Source organism: Homo sapiens, chromosome 1 (assembly GCF_000001405.40).
Source record: "Homo sapiens chromosome 1, GRCh38.p14 Primary Assembly".
Classification (NCBI taxonomy): Eukaryota; Metazoa; Chordata; class Mammalia; order Primates; family Hominidae; genus Homo; species Homo sapiens.
In genome coordinates this window covers 50,565,506-50,589,392 of record NC_000001.11, presented here as the reverse complement: position 1 = coordinate 50,589,392, position 23,887 = coordinate 50,565,506, and the positions used below count along the sequence as shown (strand labels likewise).

Below are 23,887 nucleotides of genomic sequence, written 5' to 3'. Positions count from 1 at the left end.
AGTCACCTGAGCTGCTCCTGCTTGGGTCTAGAATCCCTCCTCAGCAGACTTCGTATTTTTCAGGTGCCTAAGCACCTGAAATCCCTCCTCCCCAGAGCCACCCCAGCTGCTGCCCCTGTGGGTTCTTTGGCCCAGGGACACAACACAGCTACTGCATGTGTGCCTGAAAACAGCTCTGTGACCACTCATCACAGGCTTCAAACCCACCACTACATGTACCTGAGGCTTACCCCAGCAGCTAGGCTACTGCATGCTGCCAGCCCTGGCTGTCACAGTTTTATGTCTATAAGTAGGTGATCTTGCCCCTTGGCTCCTGCCCCTACCACTGTGCTTGCAATCACAGATGGCCCTGCAGCTGCCCACATATACACAGATAGTCTAATTCCTGTCACCTAACCCTAGCTGGTCCCTGCAATTGAGGATAAGCAAGCTTCCAGCCCTGACCATCCCACATGTGCTCTTACAGTCTTGCCCATCTCCTGTTTCTGTCTCCAGCACTTACCCCAGTGCATGAGGCTACATCTGGATCTGCTGCCAGAGGCATGTCTGCAGCCAGCCTCTACACCAGAGGATGTGCATTTCACTGGCTCTGGCCTTCATTGTTGCTAGCCATGGCCCTTTGTTGCTGGACACAGAGGCACAGCAGAGGACTCCAGTAGCCCTTGCAGCCTCTGCAGACCTCCCACAACTTTTGCCGTCAAGGATCACACAGGTGCCAATGTCACAGACTCTTAACTGTCTAGGCTGACAAGACTCAGTGTCCCCCCTAGACCTCAAGTCACCACACACACACACCACTTGGTATCTTGTGCCCTTAGACCCCATGCCACAGCATGCCCCAGAGTGCCTCTCTCCTTCTCTACCCTCTCTCCACACCCACAGGTGAAGGTCTCTCCTTACTGATGGCAGCCCATAAAGTCTGGAAGAGGTAACTTTTTCATCAAATGCACAGACACCTTTGCAAGAATACAAGGATCATAAGGAATTTCGGAAAGATGATACCACCAAAGGAACCAATAAACTCTAGTAACTGACCCTAAAGAATTAGAGATACACGAATTGCCTGACAAATAGTTTAAAATAAGTTCACATTCAGCCTGGGCAAATAGTGAGACCCTGTCTATACAAAATATATGAAAATTAGCTGGATGTAGTGGCACGTACTGCAACTTCCATCTCCCACGTTCAAGTGATTCTCCTGCCTCAGCCTTCCAGGTAGCTGGGATTACAGGCGTCTGCCACCGCACCAGGCTAATTTTTGTGTTTTTAGTGGAGATGGGGTTTCATCATGTTGGCCAGGCTGGTCTCGAACTCCTGACCTTAAGTGATCCGCCTGCCTCGGCCTCTGAAAGTGCTGGGATTACAGGCATGAGCCACCATGCCTGGCTGACATACCTAGTTTTTAACATAGTGCCTTGACATAATAGGTAGTTGGTGAATGTTGCTGAAAGGAACATCTATTTCAATTATAAGCTTGCTTTAATGCCAGTTATGAGTTCTAAATGTTTACCTTAAACGGTTTAGTTATCATCTCCTCCAGGAAGTTTTTCCTGATTCCTACCCCCTATGATTTAGGTCCTCTCTTCTGAATTTACATGTCATAGCACTAATCACTCTGTGTATAATATATGGTGCTCCTTAAGAGAGGATATACTGTATCTTCCACATAGGTCCAAACAGCGTAGCACTTAACAGTGATTTGTAAATGTTTGTTAAATGTTAAAGGTAATAAATGAATGCAATAAGCATAATCACTAATTTTTTAGCTGTTTTTAAAATTATGAATAAATACTTTTTCTGGATTTAAAGAATTTTAGGGCAGCCATGACAGATACCGAGAGATTATCTATTCTCATCAGCAAACATTAATGAAAAAAAGTTTATCTTATTTTTTAGAAAAAGCTTTTTCTAACCTGTTAGATGGCTGATAAAAAAATATGAAGAGACTGGGAGTTCCTTATACATAATTAAGTAGTTCATTCTTGCAGATATTTCAATAATTCATATTTGAAATATACTTTTTTCAACAAAATTGGCTTTTTAGATACCTCCCTTTGAAGATGTTGTGGTTATAGGATTTTGTTTTCTGGAATTTTAAGAGGTTTGGGGATTCTCTACTTTGTGAAGGGAAAACGAATAATGGAGACACATGGAGAATATTAAAATCACTATCTTAGTATGAAGTAAGGTCCTGTTGTTATAGAAGGAGCTAATGTATTGAACAGGATTTGGAGAAAGAGGATGGATGTGGGACAGTAAAGTAAAAGGGGTAAGTATAGAAAGAAGTATATATAGAACATTCCCTTTTTTCTCCCCTGTGTCTCCCACCCCTTGTTCTTAACCTGATGCCTCAAAGGAGGGGGTGAGTACTAGGCAAGATTAAGCAAAGACTGAATTGATAGCTTACCTGATAGAGGATGTGAGAAGATTTGTCATACTCGTCCTTTGTTTCTTTTCAGTTGCCTGTGAATCTGGCTAGGCACTGTAAAAGAACATGTGGTATATCTTGTAAATCTTGAGCCTTTACCTATTTAAGACTAAGCCTCAAATTTAAAGGCAACTTCATTCTCCAGATATTTGACTACCTGAAACACAGCGGGAACTCAAGCACTGTTGTCCTAGTAAATGTGTTGTTTTGTGGAGGAGGCTCTTTCACTGCTCTAAAATGAGAAAGCATTGTGGATTTTTAAGCTGTTGACTAGCTTAAACCAGGAGATCTTAGATCTACGAACAAACTATTAAGGGAGGAGGACCAGTGTTTCCGTGAGAAGTAGAGTTAAGATGGCAGGTAAATGCTTCAGGGAAGGACCATTTATTTATTCATGCAACAAATGTATCTTCATTATCTTGTCTATTCAAAGCATTAGAAAGATTGTCTTAAAGTTGAGAGGGAAAATATGATTATGATTCTCTGCATTAATGCTTGGGTATGCCCAAGGAGGAAATGCTGACATTTGACACTAAGTCAAATGAGAAACATCTTGACTTTCTCATTTGGAACTCTTAGAATCACTAGATGAGCAGTTTTAAAAAGTGTTTCATGGGGTCCTGAGATCCTCTGGCTATACCCCAGGTGTCAACAGATACAAGGAAGAAAAGGCCAACTCCAAGAGCATTAAGCTCCCCATTGACCTCTCCCTGTATCAACCAGAGTAGTCCTACTTTTATGTATTGTAATATTTTGTTTGGGCCTAGGGGAGGGAGGAAACCCTATGAAAATAAGTTAGAAAACCGCCGATGACAGATTTTTAAGATCCTTCCAGCTTTAAAATCTATGATTCAACAACTGTCTAACCTCTGACATTCCCTCTAGCTAAATTTTTATGAGTCTTTTATTTTTGAGCCAGGGTCTCACTCTGTCACTCAGGCTAGAGTGCAGTGGTGCAAACAAGGCTCACTGCAACCTTGACCTCGTGGGCTCAAGTGATCCTCCTGCCTCAGCCTCCCAAGTAACTAAGACCAGCGGCACACCATCATGCCAGACTTTTTTCTTTTTTTTTTTTTTTTTTTTTATGTAGAGATGAGATCTGGCCATGATGCCCAGGCTAATTATGAGTCTTATATTTTGTTTCTATTAATGCTTTTCTGGCAAAATATTTATGTTATATTAGGTTATTCTACATAGACTGAAGGATCAGTTTCCCCATTTTATAACTTAAGTACATAGTGCCACATTTTAAAAGATAGAAATTTTATTTACTAAGTAATATTTATAGACTTTATTTATTGAACATAGGACAGACAAGCATGTAGCCAGATATCTTGCTTGGACCGTCTTCTTACCTAAGGCATGAATATTCAGCAGTATTTACAGCCCAGTCCAAAAGTTTTATATCTCAGTATTTCAGAATCACATTCTAACCTAGAGAATAACAGCCTAGTTCTTTGAAGCAGATGTTTTTAATACCTTTTCAATTGATGTTGCTGAAAACAAAATAAACAGAGCATATTCATCAGTGCTCAGCAGGTAGTAAATTCTCAGTAATTTTTACTGAATTAAAACATTATTATTACAACTCATATGTAAAACATTATTATTACATCTCATCTTCAGTTTACAAAGAGCTTTCATATGTAGTGTATTTCATGTTATCCATAACAATGTGAGGATAGTGTACCATATTTCACAAAGAGAAACCTGAGAACCACTGCAGTAAGGAAGTGGAAAGTTTAGAAATGCTACCATTGCCTCCACCTGCCAAATATAAATTAATGTGAGCTTTTTGAGAGACGCATAACTTACTTTGTCTCTGACTTCTCCAGTTGTACCCATTTTCTCATTTGTTTTGCACTTACTTGTATACTATATGCTGGGGAAAAAGACAAAAATCCCTGTCTTTATTTAGTTTGTAAGCATTCTTCATTTCCCGAAGGTTGGAGACCTTCGGTCTACAGGTATCACAGAAAGTTTAGGAAGTATGTAAGCCTTAAAAGGAAAAAATAGTAAGCTTTACTCTAGCAAATGAGTTTATTTGATAAAAATTTTATAACGCTTATGTCCTGTTGTTATTATTATAACTTATTCTTAGAATTTGATAGGCCAAAATCAATATGAAACTAATCAGGACTTTCCTTAAATAGCAAATCACCGATGTTCATATGGTTAGTGATAGCGATGGAGATGACTTTGAAGATGCTACAGAATTTGGGGTGGATGATGGAGAAGTATTTGGCATGGCGTCATCTGCCTTGAGAAAATCTCCAATGAGTGAGTATTAATAGCTCTTTGGGTCCAGCAATAGAATTCTTTCTTCTAGTACACAAACTTATGAAGAACATTAAACTTAAACATCTCTTACTGACCTCCAGGTTTGAGGAGATAAGATAATAGAGAGTAGGCATTCTTCATTAGAACCAGAGCCTTTTGAATTTAGATTTTATTAAACTCAAAAATTCTCAGTGCATTAGGAAAATTCATTAAAAATGCAAGGTAGTGTAACTTTTGTTTTACATGTATAATGAATTATGACTGTCTCTCTTTAAACCTAGAGGCTGATTAACAAACAGGTGTACTTTCTGTGACCGATACTTGTTTCCCCACATCTTATTAGAGATATCAGTTTTAAGAGTAATAATGTTACTTTTCTATTCAACGGTACCCATCTTTGGAAGGAAAAAAGTAAACTAAATGTACCATCTCTTTCACTTCCACTTACAAGATGTGTACTATAGAATAACAAGACATGCTACGTGCAAAATGACCACTAAAATAATAATGGCCTATTTACTTTGTGAAATTAGAGAACTCCTGTGGGCAGAAATAGATGTGATGTTTACATAAAATTGGTTATTTTCCCAATTAATGAAGTCTTTAAAATAATATCAGACCCATTTAATATAATTTAGTCACAAGATGTCTATTTCAAGAAAACATTGAAATCCTAAATGACAACTGGGCACATATTTTAAATGCTTAGCAGGATTGTGTCCATTGGTTTTTCAAAATTTATGAGCTTGGAATATTTTAAGGTTCTTTTTGATTCTGGTTTGATGAGATCTAATATATGTTGAGTTAAACTATCCCCTCAGATATATCACAGAAGCTAAAATTTAATTTTATTTCCTCTTTATTGATTGAATATATTTCTTATATGTGGGATTAGATGTTATGTGGTTTGTTTTTGTGTCTATTTGTTTTGTTTTTTTGTTTTTGTTTTTTCTTTTGTTTGTTTTTTAGTGCCAGAAAACGCAGAAAATGAAGGAGATGCCTTATTACAATTTACAGCAGAGTTTTCTTCAAGGTAGGGTTAGGACATTAACTATATAAATTTGATGCTGTTTTATGCTACTGTGATTTTTCTTGGGCAATTTTAATTATAGATTGTTTAAAGTTTCTCCTTAAAGTATTCAAAGGATATACTTGTTAATTTATATAGTCCTAATAGTGAAACACATAAATAACCAGTAAACCATTTATGCCACTTTAGAGATAGATTCAACTTATTTCTGTATGTTTATGGACGTTCAATAAATGGATCCTAATTTAATATTTTTATTATATTCCCAAAGGACTAGGATATAGGATAGTAATTTTTAGTATATCTTAGGACAGTCAAATGGAAAATCCTTTAAAATAATATTAAATTTAAAAATACTTTAAACATTTTAAATCCAAGTGAATTTTTTCCTTTATTTTTTTCTTTTGGAATTGCTTTACATTTCTTCCTTAAGTGTCAAATATAAAATATTTTATATGCATTTGAGAGTCTGCTGAGGTATTCAAATATAAAGAGAATTAATGTTTAATCCTCAATTTGGTGTAAATGATATTGTTTTAGTGATATTTTCTGTTGAAATATAATATGGAGACTTTTAAAAGAAACAGTTTTTTCCTTCTATTGGAATTCTGGAATAAATGAACTGAAGTGGGAAAATAAGGCTAATGTAACTAGTAAAATCATATGAAAGTGAGTAACCAAGAGTTTCTTCTTATAAATGGCATGGTTTTATAGCACTTATTAAATTCATTTGCTAAGTGTACTTAAAATTCCAGTATTTTAGTATATCAGTATAGGCCAAGAAGAATTCTAAAAACCAATAAAGCTCATTTCCAAGCTTTTAAAGAAATGTTTTTATGTTTAGTATGCACTAGACATTAGCCCCAACATTTACTTAAAAGTCATTGATTAGACTTGTGAAATCTGAAGTGAATTTGAAAAGTATTTTAATTAATAGACTCACTTTTTCCTATAGATATGGTGATTGCCATCCTGTATTTTTTATTGGCTCATTAGAAGCTGCTTTTCAAGAGGCCTTCTATGTGAAAGCCCGAGATGTAAGTACAGTTTGACCTTTTCTGATTAAAAAGTGCATCCCACAGGTTTACCACTAGGGCTGAGGCAATGCTTAAATGTTTTCTGTTTTTGTTTTTGTTTTTTTCCAAAAACATGGAACTCTTCACGAATTTGTATGTCATCATTGTGCATGGGCCATGCTAATCATCTCTGTATAAGTCCAATTTTAGTATTATGTGCTGCTGAAGCAAGCACCGTTTTCTGTTTTCATTTTGAGATTGGAGACTTTATTTGTTTCTGGTTCATCTGCTAACCTAGTCTTCACCAAGATACCCATTTCACAAGGGACATTAATGTGATAGGGGTACTGCTGGCTCTTGCAGAAGGCCTTGTGAAGCACTGAAATAGGGTTTTTTTTTAAATGGGAAAAAAGGTGGATGTGCTTAGAAGGGACCAAGCTACATATTTGTATTCTTTTCAGTTACGCAAATGACTAGTTCTTGATAGATTTGTTCTTTAGTCTTTTCCCAAAATGATTATTCTGTGTAGTGATATATATCTAACAACTGCAATATTTTTCCCCAAAAGTCACTTTGGGCCCCTGCCCACCCCCCCAAAAAAAGGTTTTAAACATAGAAATGGACTTTGTGATCTTGAAGTCTATAAGAAGAAGCCCATAACAAGAATTTAGAAGATAAGTTTTGAGCAAGAAGATTCTAATCACTATTTGTATGTTGTCACAGCAGTCAAGACATCAGCAATCTGGCTCCTGCCTATCTATGTAGCTTCAGCTCTTCCCATTCCCTGCCTCACACTTAATAAATAAATCTGGCAATAGTGTACCATTTGTATTGCCCCATAATCTTACTCTTTCTTCATGCTTCCCCACTGCTAGAAATGCCTTTCATTCTGCTCTTTACCTGGATGACTCCTCCTCCTCCTCTGAAACTTACCTTTTCCACCTCCTCCCCTTCTCTCACATTGGCAGCACCTACCCCTTTAGCACTTCCCAGTGAAAAACCCTCTGCTTATCTCTTATTGTTACACTTAACACAGTGTTTATAATTATCCATTCTACATATGTCTTCCCAGGAGTTTTGATTTTCTTTTGGCAGGGACTATCCTTTATGTCCCTGTACTTAGTAAAAATTCAGTAAATGTTTAATAAATCAAGGAATAAAGAAAGGGAAGAAGGAAGGAATAGTGTGTACATGGAGTAGAGGGGAAAGCTGTTGGAATTAAAGAGGGCAAGGAGTTTGAGAACAGAGTGCAAGGATGCCTCTGAGATTTCTATTTTCTAGAGTATGTTAAATTCTGATACAAAGAAAAATTCATTTAAAAATAAATTTTAAAAATCAAATTCCAAGATGATTAATCAAATTAGAGCTATAATTGACAGTCTAATGAATTTAGAGTAAGAAACTTCTTTACCCTAAGAATAGCAGAATAGCCCTTTTAAAAGCTGTTTTAAGCAATTATGTTTCAACTGTTCAATCTATATAAAAATGGCTGTTTTTAAAGAATTGCATGTTTATGGCAATATATGTTTATGGTGTTCATAAATATAGGTTTATGGAAAATACTGGGCTGGATGTGATGGCTCATGCCTGTAATCCAGCACTTTGGGAAGCCACGGCGAGTGGATCACTTGAGCTCAGGAGTTCAAGATCAGCCTGAGCAACCTGGTGAAACCCCATCTTTACAAAAAATCATACAAAAATTAGCCAGGCCTGGTGATGCATGCCTCTAGTCCCAGCTACTTGGGGGGCTGAGGCAGGAGGATTGCTTGAGCCCAGGAGGTGGAGGTTGCAGTGAGCCAAGATCATGCCACTGCACTCCAGCCTGGATAATAGGTGATATTCTTTCTTGGAAGGAAAAAAGAAAATACCGAAAAGCAAAGAGAAAGTATTCTAACACAGATTAACTGTTAACTTTGTTATGCTCTTTGCATATTATTGTATGTTTAGTTGACCATATATATGGATTTTTAGTATAAAATTTAGTCATGTTATAATCCTGTAATAACAGCTTTTTTTACCTTTTAATATTATATGATCACTTTCTTAATTATAACTTCTTTTATAGTATTTTAACTTTTTATTATAAAAAATTATTTAAATTTTAATACAGAAAAAGTACTATAGTACAATAAATAGCCAAATCCCCTATACCTACCTTTAATAATTAGGAAAATTTTGCCATATTTTTATCTTCCATATATAGGCATCTCAAAGTCTTAATGGAGTTTTAAGGCTTAATGACTTAAAAGGATTAACTGCTACAGATTGACAAAAGAGCAGCATTTGAAATTTATTTATATTTTTATACTTATTTGGATTTGTGATTTTGATGAATAAATTTTTATAAATTTTTGTTTCAGTTCCTCTGATTAAAAATGACAAATGTTGACTGGAACAGAAAATAAATTAAAAATTTATTCAAAATTCACAAAAACAAACAAGTATAAAATAAATATAAATAATTAAAACTTCAAATAAATTTTAATAGTTTTTAGCAGTTAAGCTTTTGAAGTTATTGAAACTTAAACTGCACAGAAACATTTAGGGTATACTGTATATTTATTATTTTTTGCTAAGCCATTTCAAAATAAATTATAGATGTCATACTTTACCCCTAAAAACTTCAGCATGCATTTTCCAAAAATAATGATATTCTCCTACATAATCACAATACCATTTTCACATATAACAAAATTAACGATAATTCTCTAATATTATCTACTATCCAGTGCATATACAAACTTCACCAGTCATCCCCAGAATTTCTTTTTAGCTGTTTTTTTTGGAACCACAATCCACTCAAGGATCACAAGTTATATTTGAGTATTAGATATCTTAAATACCTTTTAAGCAAGCACCATCTCTCCCCATTTTTTCCTCCTGGCGTTTGCTTTGTGAAGAAATCAGACCGGATGACTTGTAGATGGTTCCAAATTCTGGATTTGTGTGATTGTTTCCTTGTGATATTATTTTTCTGATTTCCTGAAAAATGGATATTAGGTCTAAAAGCTTTGTTAGATTTAGGTGACATGCTTTGTAAAATAATGCTGAATATTTTATTTTAACAGGATTTTTAATGGTTATGGAGTCTCATTGTATGGCCATGTTGTTATATTTAAACAATCACTTATTAGACATAAATATGTTTGAAAGAATATCTAATTATAGTTTCAAAATAATGTATTTTTCAACTTATTCTTTGATAATAGTGCATTTCTCTGCTTACCAGTAGTTGAAGTAACCAGAAAATGTCACAGCCTTTTGTAACTTAAACTGTAGCTCCCAAAATAGGTATAGATATTTTTAAAAGCCCATTTCCAAAGCTTCTGTAAGATATACTATGTATACCTCACACATTTTAGCTTTAAATGCAGATAACTTACACTTAAAAATACAGTATATCGTAGACAAAAGAACTTTTACTAAGTGTCTTGTACAGTAAATTGGCATTTGGATTTATTCAGACTGATAATCCCCTGAGGAATATAAGCTCTTGTTTATTAACTCCTGGATATTTCTAATGAAACAATTGATTGTTTGCTTTTCTTAGTGTCTAGGTGTTTTAGCAGATGAAAAATTATTGGTTCATGTAATTAAATATTTTGCTTCCTATTAGATTTGTAACCAAAATCCACTGACCTCTCTGGACTGATAAAAATGTCTTTATTTCTTTGTCCAGGGCTTTCTTCTTTCCTCATTTCTCTTTTCCAAGTTACAGATCAACAGTTTATGTACAGTTTATTACATTTCTATAAACTAAAGTTTAACTCCATGAGAGATAAATTATTCAAAATTAAATCTAAACAGGTTCATTTATTGAAGTCATCAAGCAGATTGTATACATCTTCTTTTAACTGTGTACGTATAGTAATTGTAATGTTACCTCAGAATTCTGTGATGCTCTGTGGTTTATAAAACATGTTCCTATACATATCTCATTTGAACTCCACAACCAAACAGTGAAATAGGGATATATAATCCTCATATTCCCATTTTAGAGATGAGAAAGTCCAGAAAAGCTACATGACTTGCCTACAACACACTGATAGTAAGTAGTAGGGACCAAATAAGAGCTCACATGTTCCATGACAGGTAAATATGGTTTACACTATCCCACCACACTTGAGTTTTCATTGCTAACTGCTGTACTTCAGGATTTAATAATCAAACTTCATCTCTCCTTTTCATATTTCACACTTGAGAGTTAAAACAGATTTTGCTCAAGATTATTTTTTAAAATTTTTGAATGAATCGTTTTTCAGAAAACAGTTTGCTCATGTTCAAACATTTTAAGGCAAATATGACGGATACTGTGGCACTCTTACTAAATTTTCTTCATCTTAAATATCACATGTTTAATTTAAACTGTGGGAGGGGAGGTACATTAATTTTACCAGGGCAACAGATGAGCCTCAAACACCAGCATTCTTCACTTGAAGTGAGAAATTGAGTTCCAAGAGTAAATAAAAACAAGATTGAAGGTTTAAATCCTCTGCTAGGCTTTTTGAACTTATATACTCATTAAATGTTTATTGGAGTGGTGGGATTACAAAGGATTTGGGGAGCTTCATCAACTGGTATATAGTTAATCACTAAGTAAAACACTACATTTGATAAAGTGTTTCTCACGATGCCACATTCAATCCATCTTAATGAAAACTGCTTCAAACTGATTTCATTTGAGAGCACTTGGTGGTGAGAGTACTCATCGTTCTTTTTGCCTTTTTTCTTGAGGAATTTACAGTACTGTACGAAGCAGAGCTTCCAACTTTGGTAAAGTAGTTATTCTAAGTTTTCATGTTTCTTTTAAGTATATCGTGACAAAGTATTGACTTCTGATAATGTACTGATCAGTTTTATGACTTCCTTCCTTGCCCTTAACTATGAAGGACACTCATCCAGTTGAGGGCTATAAATGTTTATCACATGCTCTCTAAGGATCTGGGAAATAGAGGTTTCCTGCTTTTGCTCAGTCTAATGAGGTAAATAAAACAATATAAACAATCCATATAGTATAATATACCATAGAAGCAAAGAGAAGAGGTACCTTCAACTACCTTAGAAGTTCAGGGGAAAGATTTCTTTTCTCTTCTCTTCTCTTTTCTTTTCTTTTCCAGATGGAGTCTCACTCTGTCACCCAGTTTGGAGTGCAGTGGCGCCATCTCGGCTCACTGCAAACTCCGCCTCCTGAGTTCAAGCGATTCTCCTGCCTCAGCCTCCTGAGTAGCTGGGACTACAGGTGCGTGCCACCACGCCCTGCTAATTTTTGTGTTTTTAGTACAGACGGGGTTTCACCATGTTGGCCAGACTGGTCTTGAACTCCTGACCTCAGGTGATCCACCCGCCTCAGCCTCCCAGAGTGCTGGGATTACAGGCATGAGCTACCGCGCCCAGCCTAGGGGGAAGATTTCTAGAGGACGTACCTCTGACCTGAATCTTAAATGATGAGAAAAACTTAGGCAAATAACAGAATTCTAAACAGAAGGAAGAACAAAAGTAAAGGCAATGGAAGATTAAAGTGAGGAAACGACAACCAGTTTGGTATTACTGGAGCAAAAAAATGCAGGACGGAGTTGCATTGCTAGGCATGATGCTGATAAAATCAGTGGGGGCCAAGGCATGAAGGGGCCTGTGATGCCCTGGCATTAGCTGACATTTAAAATCTGTTTTTAGGCTGGGCATGGTGACTTACACCTGTAATCCCAACACTTCGAGGGGCCAAGGTGGGAGGATCGTTTGATCCCAAGAGTTCTAGACCAGACTGGGCAACATGGTGAGATCACCATCTCTACAAAAAAAAAAAAAAGAAAAACGAACAAACAAAAACAGTTAGTCAGGTGCGGTGGCATGTGCTTATGGTCCCAGTTACTCAAGAGGCTGAATCAGGAGCATCACTTGAGCCCAGAAGGTCTAGCCTGCAGTGAGCCATGTTTGTGCCACTGCACTCCAGCCTGGGCAAGAGAACAAGATCATATCTTGGTGCAGGGGTGGTGGCGGGGGGGGGGCGGTGCGGAGATGAGTCTTTTTTTTCCTTGGGGCCTCCCCACCTCTCATGCCTACTGTCCCTGAATTCTCTTCTTCTACACCACCAAAAGTACCCTGGAGAATCATTAGACATTTATAGTAACTAAAAATCAACAGGAATAAAAATCTCAATGGCAGGGCTTATCTCCCATGTGAAGGATTGTTCCTTTCCCAAGCATCCCTTTGGGAGTCTGAGCTTTGATATTAGTAATTTCATTACAGCTCCAAAGATCTGACTTCACACCAGTGCTTTTTCCAAATATTATACATAAATTAAGGGACTCAGTACTCAATTGCTGATTTCCCACTTAGTAGCTCTGTGGCCCTAAACAAGTAATGAGCCTATGTCTAATATGGAAAAAACATGATGATGATAGTATTTACTTTATAGAGGTTGTTTTGAGACTTAAGTGGGATGCTACCCATAAATGCACCCAGCACTGTGGATAAGACAGATGGTGCCATTAAGCAGTTTTGGACAAATTTGAGAAATGTTTGTAAAATAACAAAACTGATTTTCTCATTCAATTATGAACTAGTTCTAGGAACAGTTTCAGAAAGGAATTTTGAGAACCCCATGAACATTTCTACCACAAAAATTAGTAGTTCACGTTTAACAGTGCTCTTAGTTATCAAATTTTATTATATTTATTTTTTAAATCAGCCCATTTTAAAGTCATGCTATTTCTACTGCTTCGTGTTGAAAGAAATCTAAATGCCATCATTGCTCATTGTCTTTTAAGAAAAATAAGTTCTATACAAATTTGAGGCCACAGCTGTAGTTGGTAAGTTTCTAGCTCACCACACAATATCCAGAAAACCAGGCAAACAAACTTCTTTGTGCTTTGGAAAATATGCCCAGTCTGCTTATCTTGTCTGTGTTATTTTTTCCATTTAAATTCCTTAAAGTCAGGACAATGTCTTTTATAGTAATTTTGTATGACAGCTGGGACAGCATCCTGCACATGTGTGAAATAAGACTTAGAATGCTAATTTTTTTTTTAGAAAAATATATTTGAATTATACAAATAATGTATTTGCTGTAAGAGAATGAAAATACAGATGCATTTTAAGTAGAAAATGACACCACATAATTCCAAACCTGAAAATAACCACTATTTATTAAATGCTTTTACTTTCTAAATGTGATTTTTAAAAAAATCTATAAACATGTATATCAGTCAAAAAGCTGATATAGTTTATATAAATACAACCATACCAAACCTGCTGTTCTGTAATTAGATATTTCTACTAAATAGTATATTTGTTAGTACCACTTAGAATTTGCCTTTAATTCTCCAATTATCAGATCTGCCTAATTAAAATTGCAAAAATCTTTAGTGCCCATATTAAAATTATTTCTTAAATTAGTTCAAAACTTACTAGTTTAGACATACACTGCCATTTGGCTGGGCGCAGTGGCTCACGCCTGTAATCCCAGCACTTTGGGAGGCCGAGGCGGGTGGATCACGAGGTCAAGAGATCAAGATCATCCTGGCTAACACGGTGAAACCCCGTCTCTATTAAAAATACAAAAAATTAGCCGGGCGTGGTGGCGGGTGCCTGTAGTCCCAGCTACTTGGGAGGCTGAGGCAGGAGAATGGCGTGAACCCAGGAGGCGGAGCTTGCAGTGAGCCGAGATCATGCCACTGCACTCCAGCCTGGGTGACAGAGCGAGACCCTGTCTCAAAAAAAAAAAAAAAAAAAAAAAAAAAAGAGTTAATACAACTCTATATGCTTAAACACAGCTTGTTTTTATGATATATAATATTCTACTTAGAAACCTGTTTGTCAGACAATATTTGATGGTATTAAAAAGCTACTGAACATGTATACCCATAAATCATTGTAATTCTTATGATTTTCAGTAAGAATGCATTATTAATATATTTTTAATGAAAAATTATTAATTTATCTTCAAGTCTTTACTGCTATACTCTGTCACCTTTTGGAATGTGGAAGTAGATATAAGTAGGCTATGGGTTCTTGTTCTCTTCCTCAGTGTCCTAAAAGTGGGGGCGAGGAGTACACTTGACATTCGCACTCCTTTTGTCATGCTTGTTTAACAGGCCTATTGCTGACTAGGAGTAGTGTTATCCCTCCCCATAGAGAATAGTAAAGGGTTAGAAAAATCCTTCCTGCACTTTTAAGAGACTACTGTACCAAAGTCCTTAGTACTGTGTCTAAATGTTTACCTGGAAAACCAATGAGAGTTGGCCTGACACTGCCTACTTCCTTGCCTACCCAGTCCCTCTTCCAGCCTCCCCAAAGAGCATGCCTGCTTCTCTGTAACTTGCTGTAAGAGCCAATCGTTTCAGCTTCTCATGTCCTTATTCATAAAAACTTTTGCCACATGGTGGCCTTCCTCAAATATATTGTATTACCTGAGTATTACAGTCTAAGCAATGAAAACTGATAAAGATCTATACCCAATGAACATCTGTCAGCTTATTTTGAGAGTTTGATTTTACTTTAGGCTTTTCTTTTTTTAGACAGAGTCTCGCCCCGTTGCCCAGGATGGAGTGTAGTGGCACAATTTCAGCTCACTACAACCTCTGCCTCCCAGTTTCAAGCAATTCTACCTCAGCCTCCCAAGTAGCTGGGATTACAGGCGCACCCCACCACACCCAGCCAATTTTTTGTATTTTTAGTAGAGATGGGGTTTCGCCCTGTTGGCCAGGCTGGTCTTGAACTCCTGACCTCAGGTGATCCAACTGCCTCGGCCTCCCAAAGTGGTGAAATTACAGGCGTGAACCACTGCACCTAGGGAAGGCTTTGTTTTGTTTTTTTTTTTTTTGTTTTTAACCCTCTGACTTCCATATGACAGTGCTCCCTATGCAAGATTCAGATATCTGTGTCCTCAAGATTTCAGAATGCTATCCCAACATCTGCTCAGAAAGTGAGGGGAAAAAGACACCATCCTGGCATCTCCTCATCTTCAGTAGCTGACTTTTTCTTTTTGGAACCTCTCCAATTTGGTTGATGCTTGTTGGTCTCTGAAATCACATTCAGGAGCTAAACAGGGCTAAGTTTTGTGATTCTTTTCACAATACAACCTGCACTCTGGTGTTTTACTCTTTAAAGATAACTAGCTTGGAGTTCTTTGAACATATGGGGCCATTGACATTGCTGGGCCTTTCCCAAACTTTTCCTTTGTTTTTTATCTTTTTTACTCTTCTTTTTCTCACTCTCACGTATATTTAAAATTCCGCTTCAGGCCAGGCACAGTGGCTTACGCCTGTAATCTCAGCACTTTGGGAGGCCAAAGCAGGCAGATCACCTGAGGTCAGGAGTTCAAGACCAGCCTGGCCAACATGGTGAAACCCCATCTCTACTAAAAACACAAAAATTAGCCGGGCATGGTGGCAGCTGCCTGCAATCTCAGCTACTCAGGAGGCTGAGGCAGGAGAATCACTTGAACCCAGGAGGCGGAGTTTGCAGTGAGCTGAGATGGTGCCATCAGCCTGGGCAACAGAGCAACACTCTGTCTCAAAAAAAAAAAAAAGAAAAGAAAAATTCAGCTTCAGTCACAGAGAAGTCACTCTCTCCTGCTTTTACTGTGGTTTGTTTGTTTCTACTTATAGCATTGATGTCCTACTTTTAAAATTCAGCTCAAGTATCACCTTCGCAGGCCAGGTGTGTAATCCCAGCATTTTGGGAGGCCAGGTCAGGAGGATCACTTGAGCCCAGGAGTTCAAGACCAGCTTGGGCAACATAGTGAGACCCCATCTCTATTAAAAACAATTTTTTTTTAAAGTATCATCTTCATAAAGAAGCAGCCAATCTGATGTTCATGCCTAGAACCCAGGACTTCCTCTATTACTACTCATTACTACTGATTTGCCAGCCTTACTTCCTCACTACTCCCATCTAGAAAAGAGTTTTAACAGACTTCTGACCTTCAGAACTGTATGCCACCCAAGCACAAAAGTGTAGTGACTTTCCCAAGGTCACATAGCAGGGCAATGGCAAAGCAGGAATTTGAATCCAGATAGTGTGGCTTCCTACTCTCCTGCTTGTGTTCTCACATTGCACTTATCTTGAGTCATGATTGTATGCTATGTGGTACCTATGAACATCCATATACAAGAATAGCATTGTAGAAGTTGGCAAGTACTGGAATGATCCAAATTAGATGCTGGATTTAAAACAATAAATAAAACAGCTACAAAGGACATGTGGGAGTACTTGGGGGAAATTTGAATATGGACTGTTTATTAGATGATATTGTAACAATATTAAATGTCTTAGGTGTGATATAAATATGATGATTATGTAAGGGAATGTATTATTCTCAAGACATTTCTTTAGGGTAGAAGTGTCATAGTGTCTGCAAACATTCAGATGTTTCAGGGAAGTATTAAAAGAATGATAAAGCAAATATGGCAAAATGCTAATGATTGGTAAATCTAGGTGAAGAATAAATAGGTGTTTATTGTATCATTGTATCCATTGTTTGTATCAATGAGCCATCTCCAAACTTAAAAAGTGATAGTGATAATGATTCTGATTACTGATGATAATGATGAGGGAAAAGGAGAACAGAAATGGGAAGGAGAGAAAGCAAGTCAGGTCCAATTTACACAAGGAAATTATTTTATACTATAGTTTTAACACTGAAAAAAACTATGAACTACATTGTACCATTCCCAGAAATTGTCATATCAACTTTAAAAGCATTGAACATGCAGATTATGGATATTCTGGTACTCAAAATACAACCCTTTCTTTTTAGTTCATCAGCAAATATTTCCTTAGTATCTGCTCTCTGCCTGGCTTATTTTGAGACACAGCACATTTCTTCCAGCTCTAATATTCTATGGTTCTGTGACACTAAGAGTCTAAATACAATAGCTACTGTAGCTCAAGGCCAAGTCACATTGGTTGCTGTCAGCTGGGCATTTCTTAAGCATCAACTTAGTACCTTAGCTCCTGGATTTGAATGTGAAGATTAGTGAGGCACCGAACTCAGAGACACAATAAGCATCCCAGACACTATTGCCAGTAGGAAAAATGAAGGAGCTGCTTAATCTTTAATACATTTTCATGGCCATTATTTCTCTTGAAATTGCTTTCAAAACCCTTTATTTTGCATGGATAGTTCAGGAATCTTCATCCTAACAGCTACCTTTCATTCAGCACCTACTATGGGCCAGGCCTTGTAAATAGGTACTTAACCTACATTATCTGCGATGCTTACAACAACCCATTTGCCCCATGGTCACACAGCTGCTAAATGGCAGAACTGGATTTAGAACAGAGCTCTCTGTTACTTTAAAGCTTGGAGACTTCCTTTTGCACTGTGTTACTAAAACTTAGATTACAGAGAGGGAATCAGGAGAATGTAGCTTGGTTGTTTGCCTTTGTGGTCTGCCAGACTTAGACCCTCTCTGCCAAATTAGAAAGGACAAATAAAATATATTCTTTTTAATGCCCCAATATTATCATTTGTTAGATGGTATACAATTAAACGTTTGCCTCCGCACATTCTTTCCCACAACTTTTTGAGGGTAAGGAAACTGTTTCATTCATCTTTATAGTCTCAATCGCTAATACATAGGTACTCTTCAAATGTTATTGAACTAAATTATTAAATGGGCCAAAGGAAAAACTGGTTATAGTAATAGAAATCAAAACATTTTCTTACTCGTTTTCTGTGGTACTGCTTTCTTCACGAAAGCAGTTTTCTGATTAGTTTGCCATTTCAACTCTTCCAAATTGGTTGATATGCTTAATCCAGTTCTCACTCTTTTGGCCTGTGCTTAATTGAGCTCAGTAAGATAATCAGAAATCTGAGTCTGGAGTCCATTTATCTGTGACTGTAATTTAATCAGATTTATATAGCCTAAATTTACTAGCACTTCCATACTATTGAGTCTTTATATTTTGCTTATTTATTGTTATAAAAGCAGCAGAAAATTTTTTGTTGAAAGCTTATGTCAGAGAAAAGATTATTTTAAAATTATTAGTTTTCCTTTTGAAAGCTACTTTGGGGTACCCACAGCCTGAAGATTCTCTTGTGATACTCTTTTTATCATCTCCTTTCTCACATTCAGTCTAAAGCTTAAAGTGGGAATTTTTTTTTTAAGTGTGTTTTCCTGGCATCTCATGTTTAACAGTGTCAGGGGTTTGTGTCCCTGGAACGAAAACTGTTTCTCCAGAGTCTTTTTTCTCTCAGCTTCCAGTGAAAAGAGGGGCGAGGCGAGCCAGTCGCTTACCACAAAGCAGTGCCACCACAAAGGAAAGATTAAGGGTTTAGAGAGAGGTCAATGTGGGTTTTTCTCTAACTAAACACTTTCCTAAAGTTTCCTTGTGGAAAAATAATGAAGTCATCTCAGAGTTTTTAAAGAATTTTTATTTCTTTTTCACCGTCTGCATTCGCTTGTCTTCTCAGCATGGATGTTTAATCTTCCTAGGCTTTGTGAATTGGCCCAAATGAATAAGTGGTGAGCTGTCTCTCTAGGAGCTAGAGGCTTATTCTAAGGGCCTAATCACTGAGTAAACACATCTTTGCCCTCCCTCTCACAACTGCGATATAATAGTCGAGATTCTAGCACAGTAACCTGGATATTGCAGGGACCAATGCTTTGAAATGCAGAATGGTTGATCCTCCAAAACAGACAGTGCCTGATCTTCGCCTGTCTCTTTCTTCTTTTTTAAATTAAATATTGCCAAAGAGATGCCGTTTTATTGCTTGATATTGTGCATTAGTGCCCTGGATTTCCAAGTTTAGTTTCAGTCAACACTGTCGGCTGCACTTATAGAGAACTCTGCATGTTGGGTTTCTTAGTAGCCTCTTCGGCACATGTGTGTTTGGTTTGGAAGAGCATTTAAATTAAATCAGTGAGATAGCAATGTAAATCACTAATCTCTTTCCCAAAGTCTAAATGTTCCATTGCAGTGTTCTTGAGAGAAATAGGCATTTTAAAGATTTAGCCATTGCCATTGTTTAGTTAGAAATATGCTGATTTAAAAGTGGACAGCTCTCTTTTTCCCACTGTCTCATTAAATGTAGTTGCTGAGATACGATCAAGCTGAATTAGGGGTTGACATCCCTCTGTCTGTTCAGTTAGAGAGCTCCTAAGAAGAAGAGTTCTGAATTTGTTAATGGTGCCAGGTTCACATTACTTTCCCTAAAGCATCAGAATTCTTGATTCATTTACTAAAACTGATTTTACATTGCCATTGCTATTGGGTATCTTTTTTGCCAAGGGGCTGTGGCTTGTATCAGTGTTCTTGTTTCTTTCATCAAACAGGCTGGGACCCAGGCTAGTTTAAAGATGCAAAGAAGACTGAAAGAGACCTCATTCTCTCTTTTGAGAAATTTAGTCTAGAGGGGAAACTGGTAAACAGTTATAATACTAATGGAAGGAGATAGAGGCCCAGGAAAGGAAGCTCTTAACTCTGCCTGAGGGAATCACGGAAGGTTTCATAGAGGCATTTGTTTTGAGCCTTATAGGATGAGTAGGAATTTACTAGATAAGTATCTCTCTAACAATGTATCTGATTACAAACTTCCTAGAAGGCTGATACTGTTCTCTGCAGACATCAACATAGATGAAGAAACCCCGAGTCTTTCTTGTTCACCATTTTATTGCCACTGCTTCCTGCTGAGCCTGACACAAAGAGCATTTCAACAAATGCTTGTTGAATGAATGAATAAATGAATTAACACATAGAAGCAGGGTGGGATCAGCTGAGCTACTTATACCCAGGAGTCCTGCCCTTATTCCCATTACAAGCTGTCTCTGAGTCTCAGCCCAAAGCAGTCTGGCATCTTCATGTTATATGAGTGCTTCCATAAGCCTTGACTACAGTGTGGTTGATTTCCCTGCTACCACTGTAGTATCAGAGAAAAAACACTTACTTGGACTTGGAGTTAGACAATCTGAGAGCCAATCCTCGTTGTATTAGTTACTAACTATCTGTGACATTTGGGACAAGTCCGCTTTCTAAACCTCAGTTTCCTCATATGCTAATGGGGTTAAGGATGCTATTTTAAAGATTTATTCTGGAAATTAAAGTAGATAATGGTTGTGAAAGTAACAGTGTCTCCTATTCATAGTAGATGCTTTTAGAATCTTAATCTACCTAACTGTGGCTACCCTCATCTATTACGAAATTTACCTTTGAAGAAAACAATTTTAATGATGATTACTATTACTATTATTTGGATTCTTTATCTAGATAATTCCTAACATCAGATTTCATTAGCCTTTCATCAGCATGAGCCTTATATTTTTCTGTAAGTTTCCTTCTTTTGTTCAGAATCCCACACAGCAAATTTTCATTTGCTGTCATCACATTCTTATTTAACTTGAAGGGAAAGATACTAAGCTTCCTTGAAATTTTCCTTTGACAGAATTTCAAAGATTGGTTTGTATGTTGTCTTTACCATAAAATTTCATCTTTCCTTTCCCTGGTAATTGTGAGTATTGTTAAACTCAGCTCTTCTTTGAGGTAGTACCAAGAAGTTAGTCAACAATTTAAGCTCTTTAATCATTATAGTCATTGTTGGTAAAGCTAACATGTTGCAAACCATCAATGGCTACTTATAGCCATTGTTTTTATTATACCTATTACCTTGTTCAGTTTCAGTTTTTAGTTTTAATTATTGCATTGAGTATCCAACTATGACAGAAGACACATTTAAGAGACCAAGTGTCATTTATTGAAAGCAACTTTTATTATGGCAAAAGGGAAAGAATAATTTTCTATATGAAGAGCCACAGTGGACATTTTCTGAAATATAAACTAGAAAGAATGCATGTGAACTGAATATTTTTCTATCTCTTCAAATGTCAATTACATGTCACATGCTGATAAATAAGGGCTTAATATGAGAATACATTAAGGACTTTAAAATTATCTATAGAACAAAAAGAAAACTTGATTTCAGACCTTTTCCTTTCAAATGGAAGAGACTATCCATTGTTCAGATTAAAACCATAAAAAATATGTAAGAGGAATTTTGTCATTCTGTTTTAAAGAATATTTTTTCTCTGTATTGTTGAACAGTTCAAAGTTAATATTTCTCTTTACATATATCTATTAAATGAAAAGAATAGTAAATCCATTTCCTTTAAGCAAAATACAATTCCTTTGCAACTTCATTTGAGATAGGCTTGCACATGTCAACAGAAATCTGCAATAGCAGTCTGCAGAATTAGATATAATCATCCCAGCCTTTTTAAAGTGTAAGAAAGTAAAATTTTTTGATATTTTAGATGCTTTAGGAACTCCAAAATGTAAAGTACTCTCTTAGGGAATAGCATTTAATTTTTGTCTTTGCTGTTCATATAGACTAATTATGCCTCTCTAAAATTTAAGAAATCTTACATTAGTGGATATTTTAATTGATCAGATTTTTCTCCTCTTTTCAGAGAAAGCTTCTTGCTATCTACCTCCACCATGATGAAAGTGTGTTAACCAACGTGTTCTGCTCACAAATGCTTTGTGCTGAATCCATTGTTTCTTATCTGAGTCAAAATTTTATAACCTGGGCTTGGGATCTGACAAAGGACTCCAACAGAGCAAGGTAATACTGTTGTTCACAAGTTACAAGTTGGGCTTCTATTAAAAAAAAAATCATTGTGTTTATCATCATCATAAACATTTTTCATCCTCAGCATTAAACTCTCTACCATTGCATTTCATTAGACAAAAGCTGCTCGTTGCAGCTAACACATGCAGTTATTTGCAATTGTGAAAATGTACCTTAACTTATAAAAACTTTTTAAATTCAAGAATAACCTGAAAACAAAAATACATTTCTCATCTTATATTTGCAGTGCAACAGACATTTCTAATATGTTTTTGAACTTTTAGAGAAACCTGATGTTTTTAATGATGTTCAGAAAAGGCAAAACAAGTCTAATATATAATCCTAGTAGTAAGTTTATTTTTTAATAACTTCAGTGAAGAAGGCAGGACTTTCTGCACAAGTCCAGTGGAGTTGGTAATAGCTTAACTCTAGCATATGCTAATTGATGTAATCGCTTTATTGCACACATTCTTTTGCACACAGCCAACAATACATCCATATTCTCAATAGGGAAAAAAAAATTCCTTTCCTAGTTGTCAGGATGAGTTTACTTAGTTTGTTAATCATAGTATCTTCAAGTGATTAACACTTCTTCATATTTTGCCTATTTCAGTTTCCCATCTGAAATATATTTCATCATGTTTAATTACACATGTGGCCGTAACATCCCATGATGCTACTTTGGGTGTGTTAACACAATCATAATCACAGGCTGCTGGTTCATGAACAGGGAGATTAAATTAATTCATTTCAAGGCAAGCATATTTTAGTCACCTAATTTAAACGATTATAGAACAATTAGAAACCATCTGATTTGTCTTTTTGTTATTTTATGGCTCACTGAATTTTTGGTCATCATTCAGACTTTGTTTTATTTAATCTGAATCAGAAAAGAACATGATTCTTTCCTTAAATGTGAGGCAAAATAATGTTGAAGCTATTTCATAATCTAATACTTCATTTCTTTAAGCAAATGGTTAGGAAATTTCATGAGATGACTTCGTTTTGCCTTGGAAATATTCCCTGTTATACATAAATAAAGAATCTTTAGCACCTGTATTTGTTTAAATTAAATCAGGTTATTATTCACACTCAGTTAAAGGTGATGAAAAGCAGTGCCAAAAACAGATAAAAATGCCACATCGAAGGTCTTTCATGAGGCAAAATACAGAGACTGGAGACTTGGCTAAATCTTTTGCCATTCACTGGCAGTAAGGAATCTCCTCCTTTCCTTTTATCCACAACTTGATGGAGAAGGAAACACTATTTCTAAACCATCTGTAGTGGCTAAGTTCAGTGGGCTACCTGCTGTTATTTTGTTCTATCCTCCATTTAATTCCTTAGTTCCTTTTATTTTACAATGACAAAAAATTGCAGTGTAGTTTCTTTTGAAAAACAGTGTTTGAGGGTTTCTTTTTTTTATGATGGCAATCAACAGCCATGTAATTGCTTTGTTATGTTTTACTAAAGAAGTCTGTTAAGTAGCACAACTTTGATACACTAGTAATAAGAGTTTGCAGGTTACAGAGACACCTGTGGTGACCAAAGCGACAGAAGCTGCTTAT

The 23,887-nt window shown here is 36.4% G+C and overlaps 1 protein-coding gene and 1 pseudogene across 5 annotated transcripts in view, besides 1 other annotated feature; one reads left to right on the top strand and one right to left on the bottom strand.

Moving 5' to 3' along the window:
• FAF1 (Fas associated factor 1) overlaps positions 1-23,887 on the top strand; it is a 523,240-nt gene that overhangs the window by 370,875 nt on the left and 128,478 nt on the right. For all 5 annotated transcript variants that reach the window (NM_007051.3, XM_047442745.1, XM_047442743.1 and 2 more), the window contains 4 exons: positions 4,582-4,708; positions 5,678-5,741; positions 6,694-6,775; positions 22,162-22,316. In NM_007051.3, the coding sequence (NP_008982.1) occupies positions 4,582-4,708; positions 5,678-5,741; positions 6,694-6,775; positions 22,162-22,316 (428 nt within the window). The remainder of the gene's footprint in view (positions 1-4,581; positions 4,709-5,677; positions 5,742-6,693; positions 6,776-22,161; positions 22,317-23,887) is intronic.
• On the bottom strand, positions 6,882-6,989 carry RNU6-1026P (RNA, U6 small nuclear 1026, pseudogene; annotated as a pseudogene).
• Positions 18,776-20,519: an enhancer, noted in NCBI's record as "VISTA enhancer hs194". NCBI's record gives its function as "enhancer in: midbrain (mesencephalon)[7/9]" and the evidence as "EXISTENCE:transgenic organism evidence [ECO:0001131][PMID:17130149]".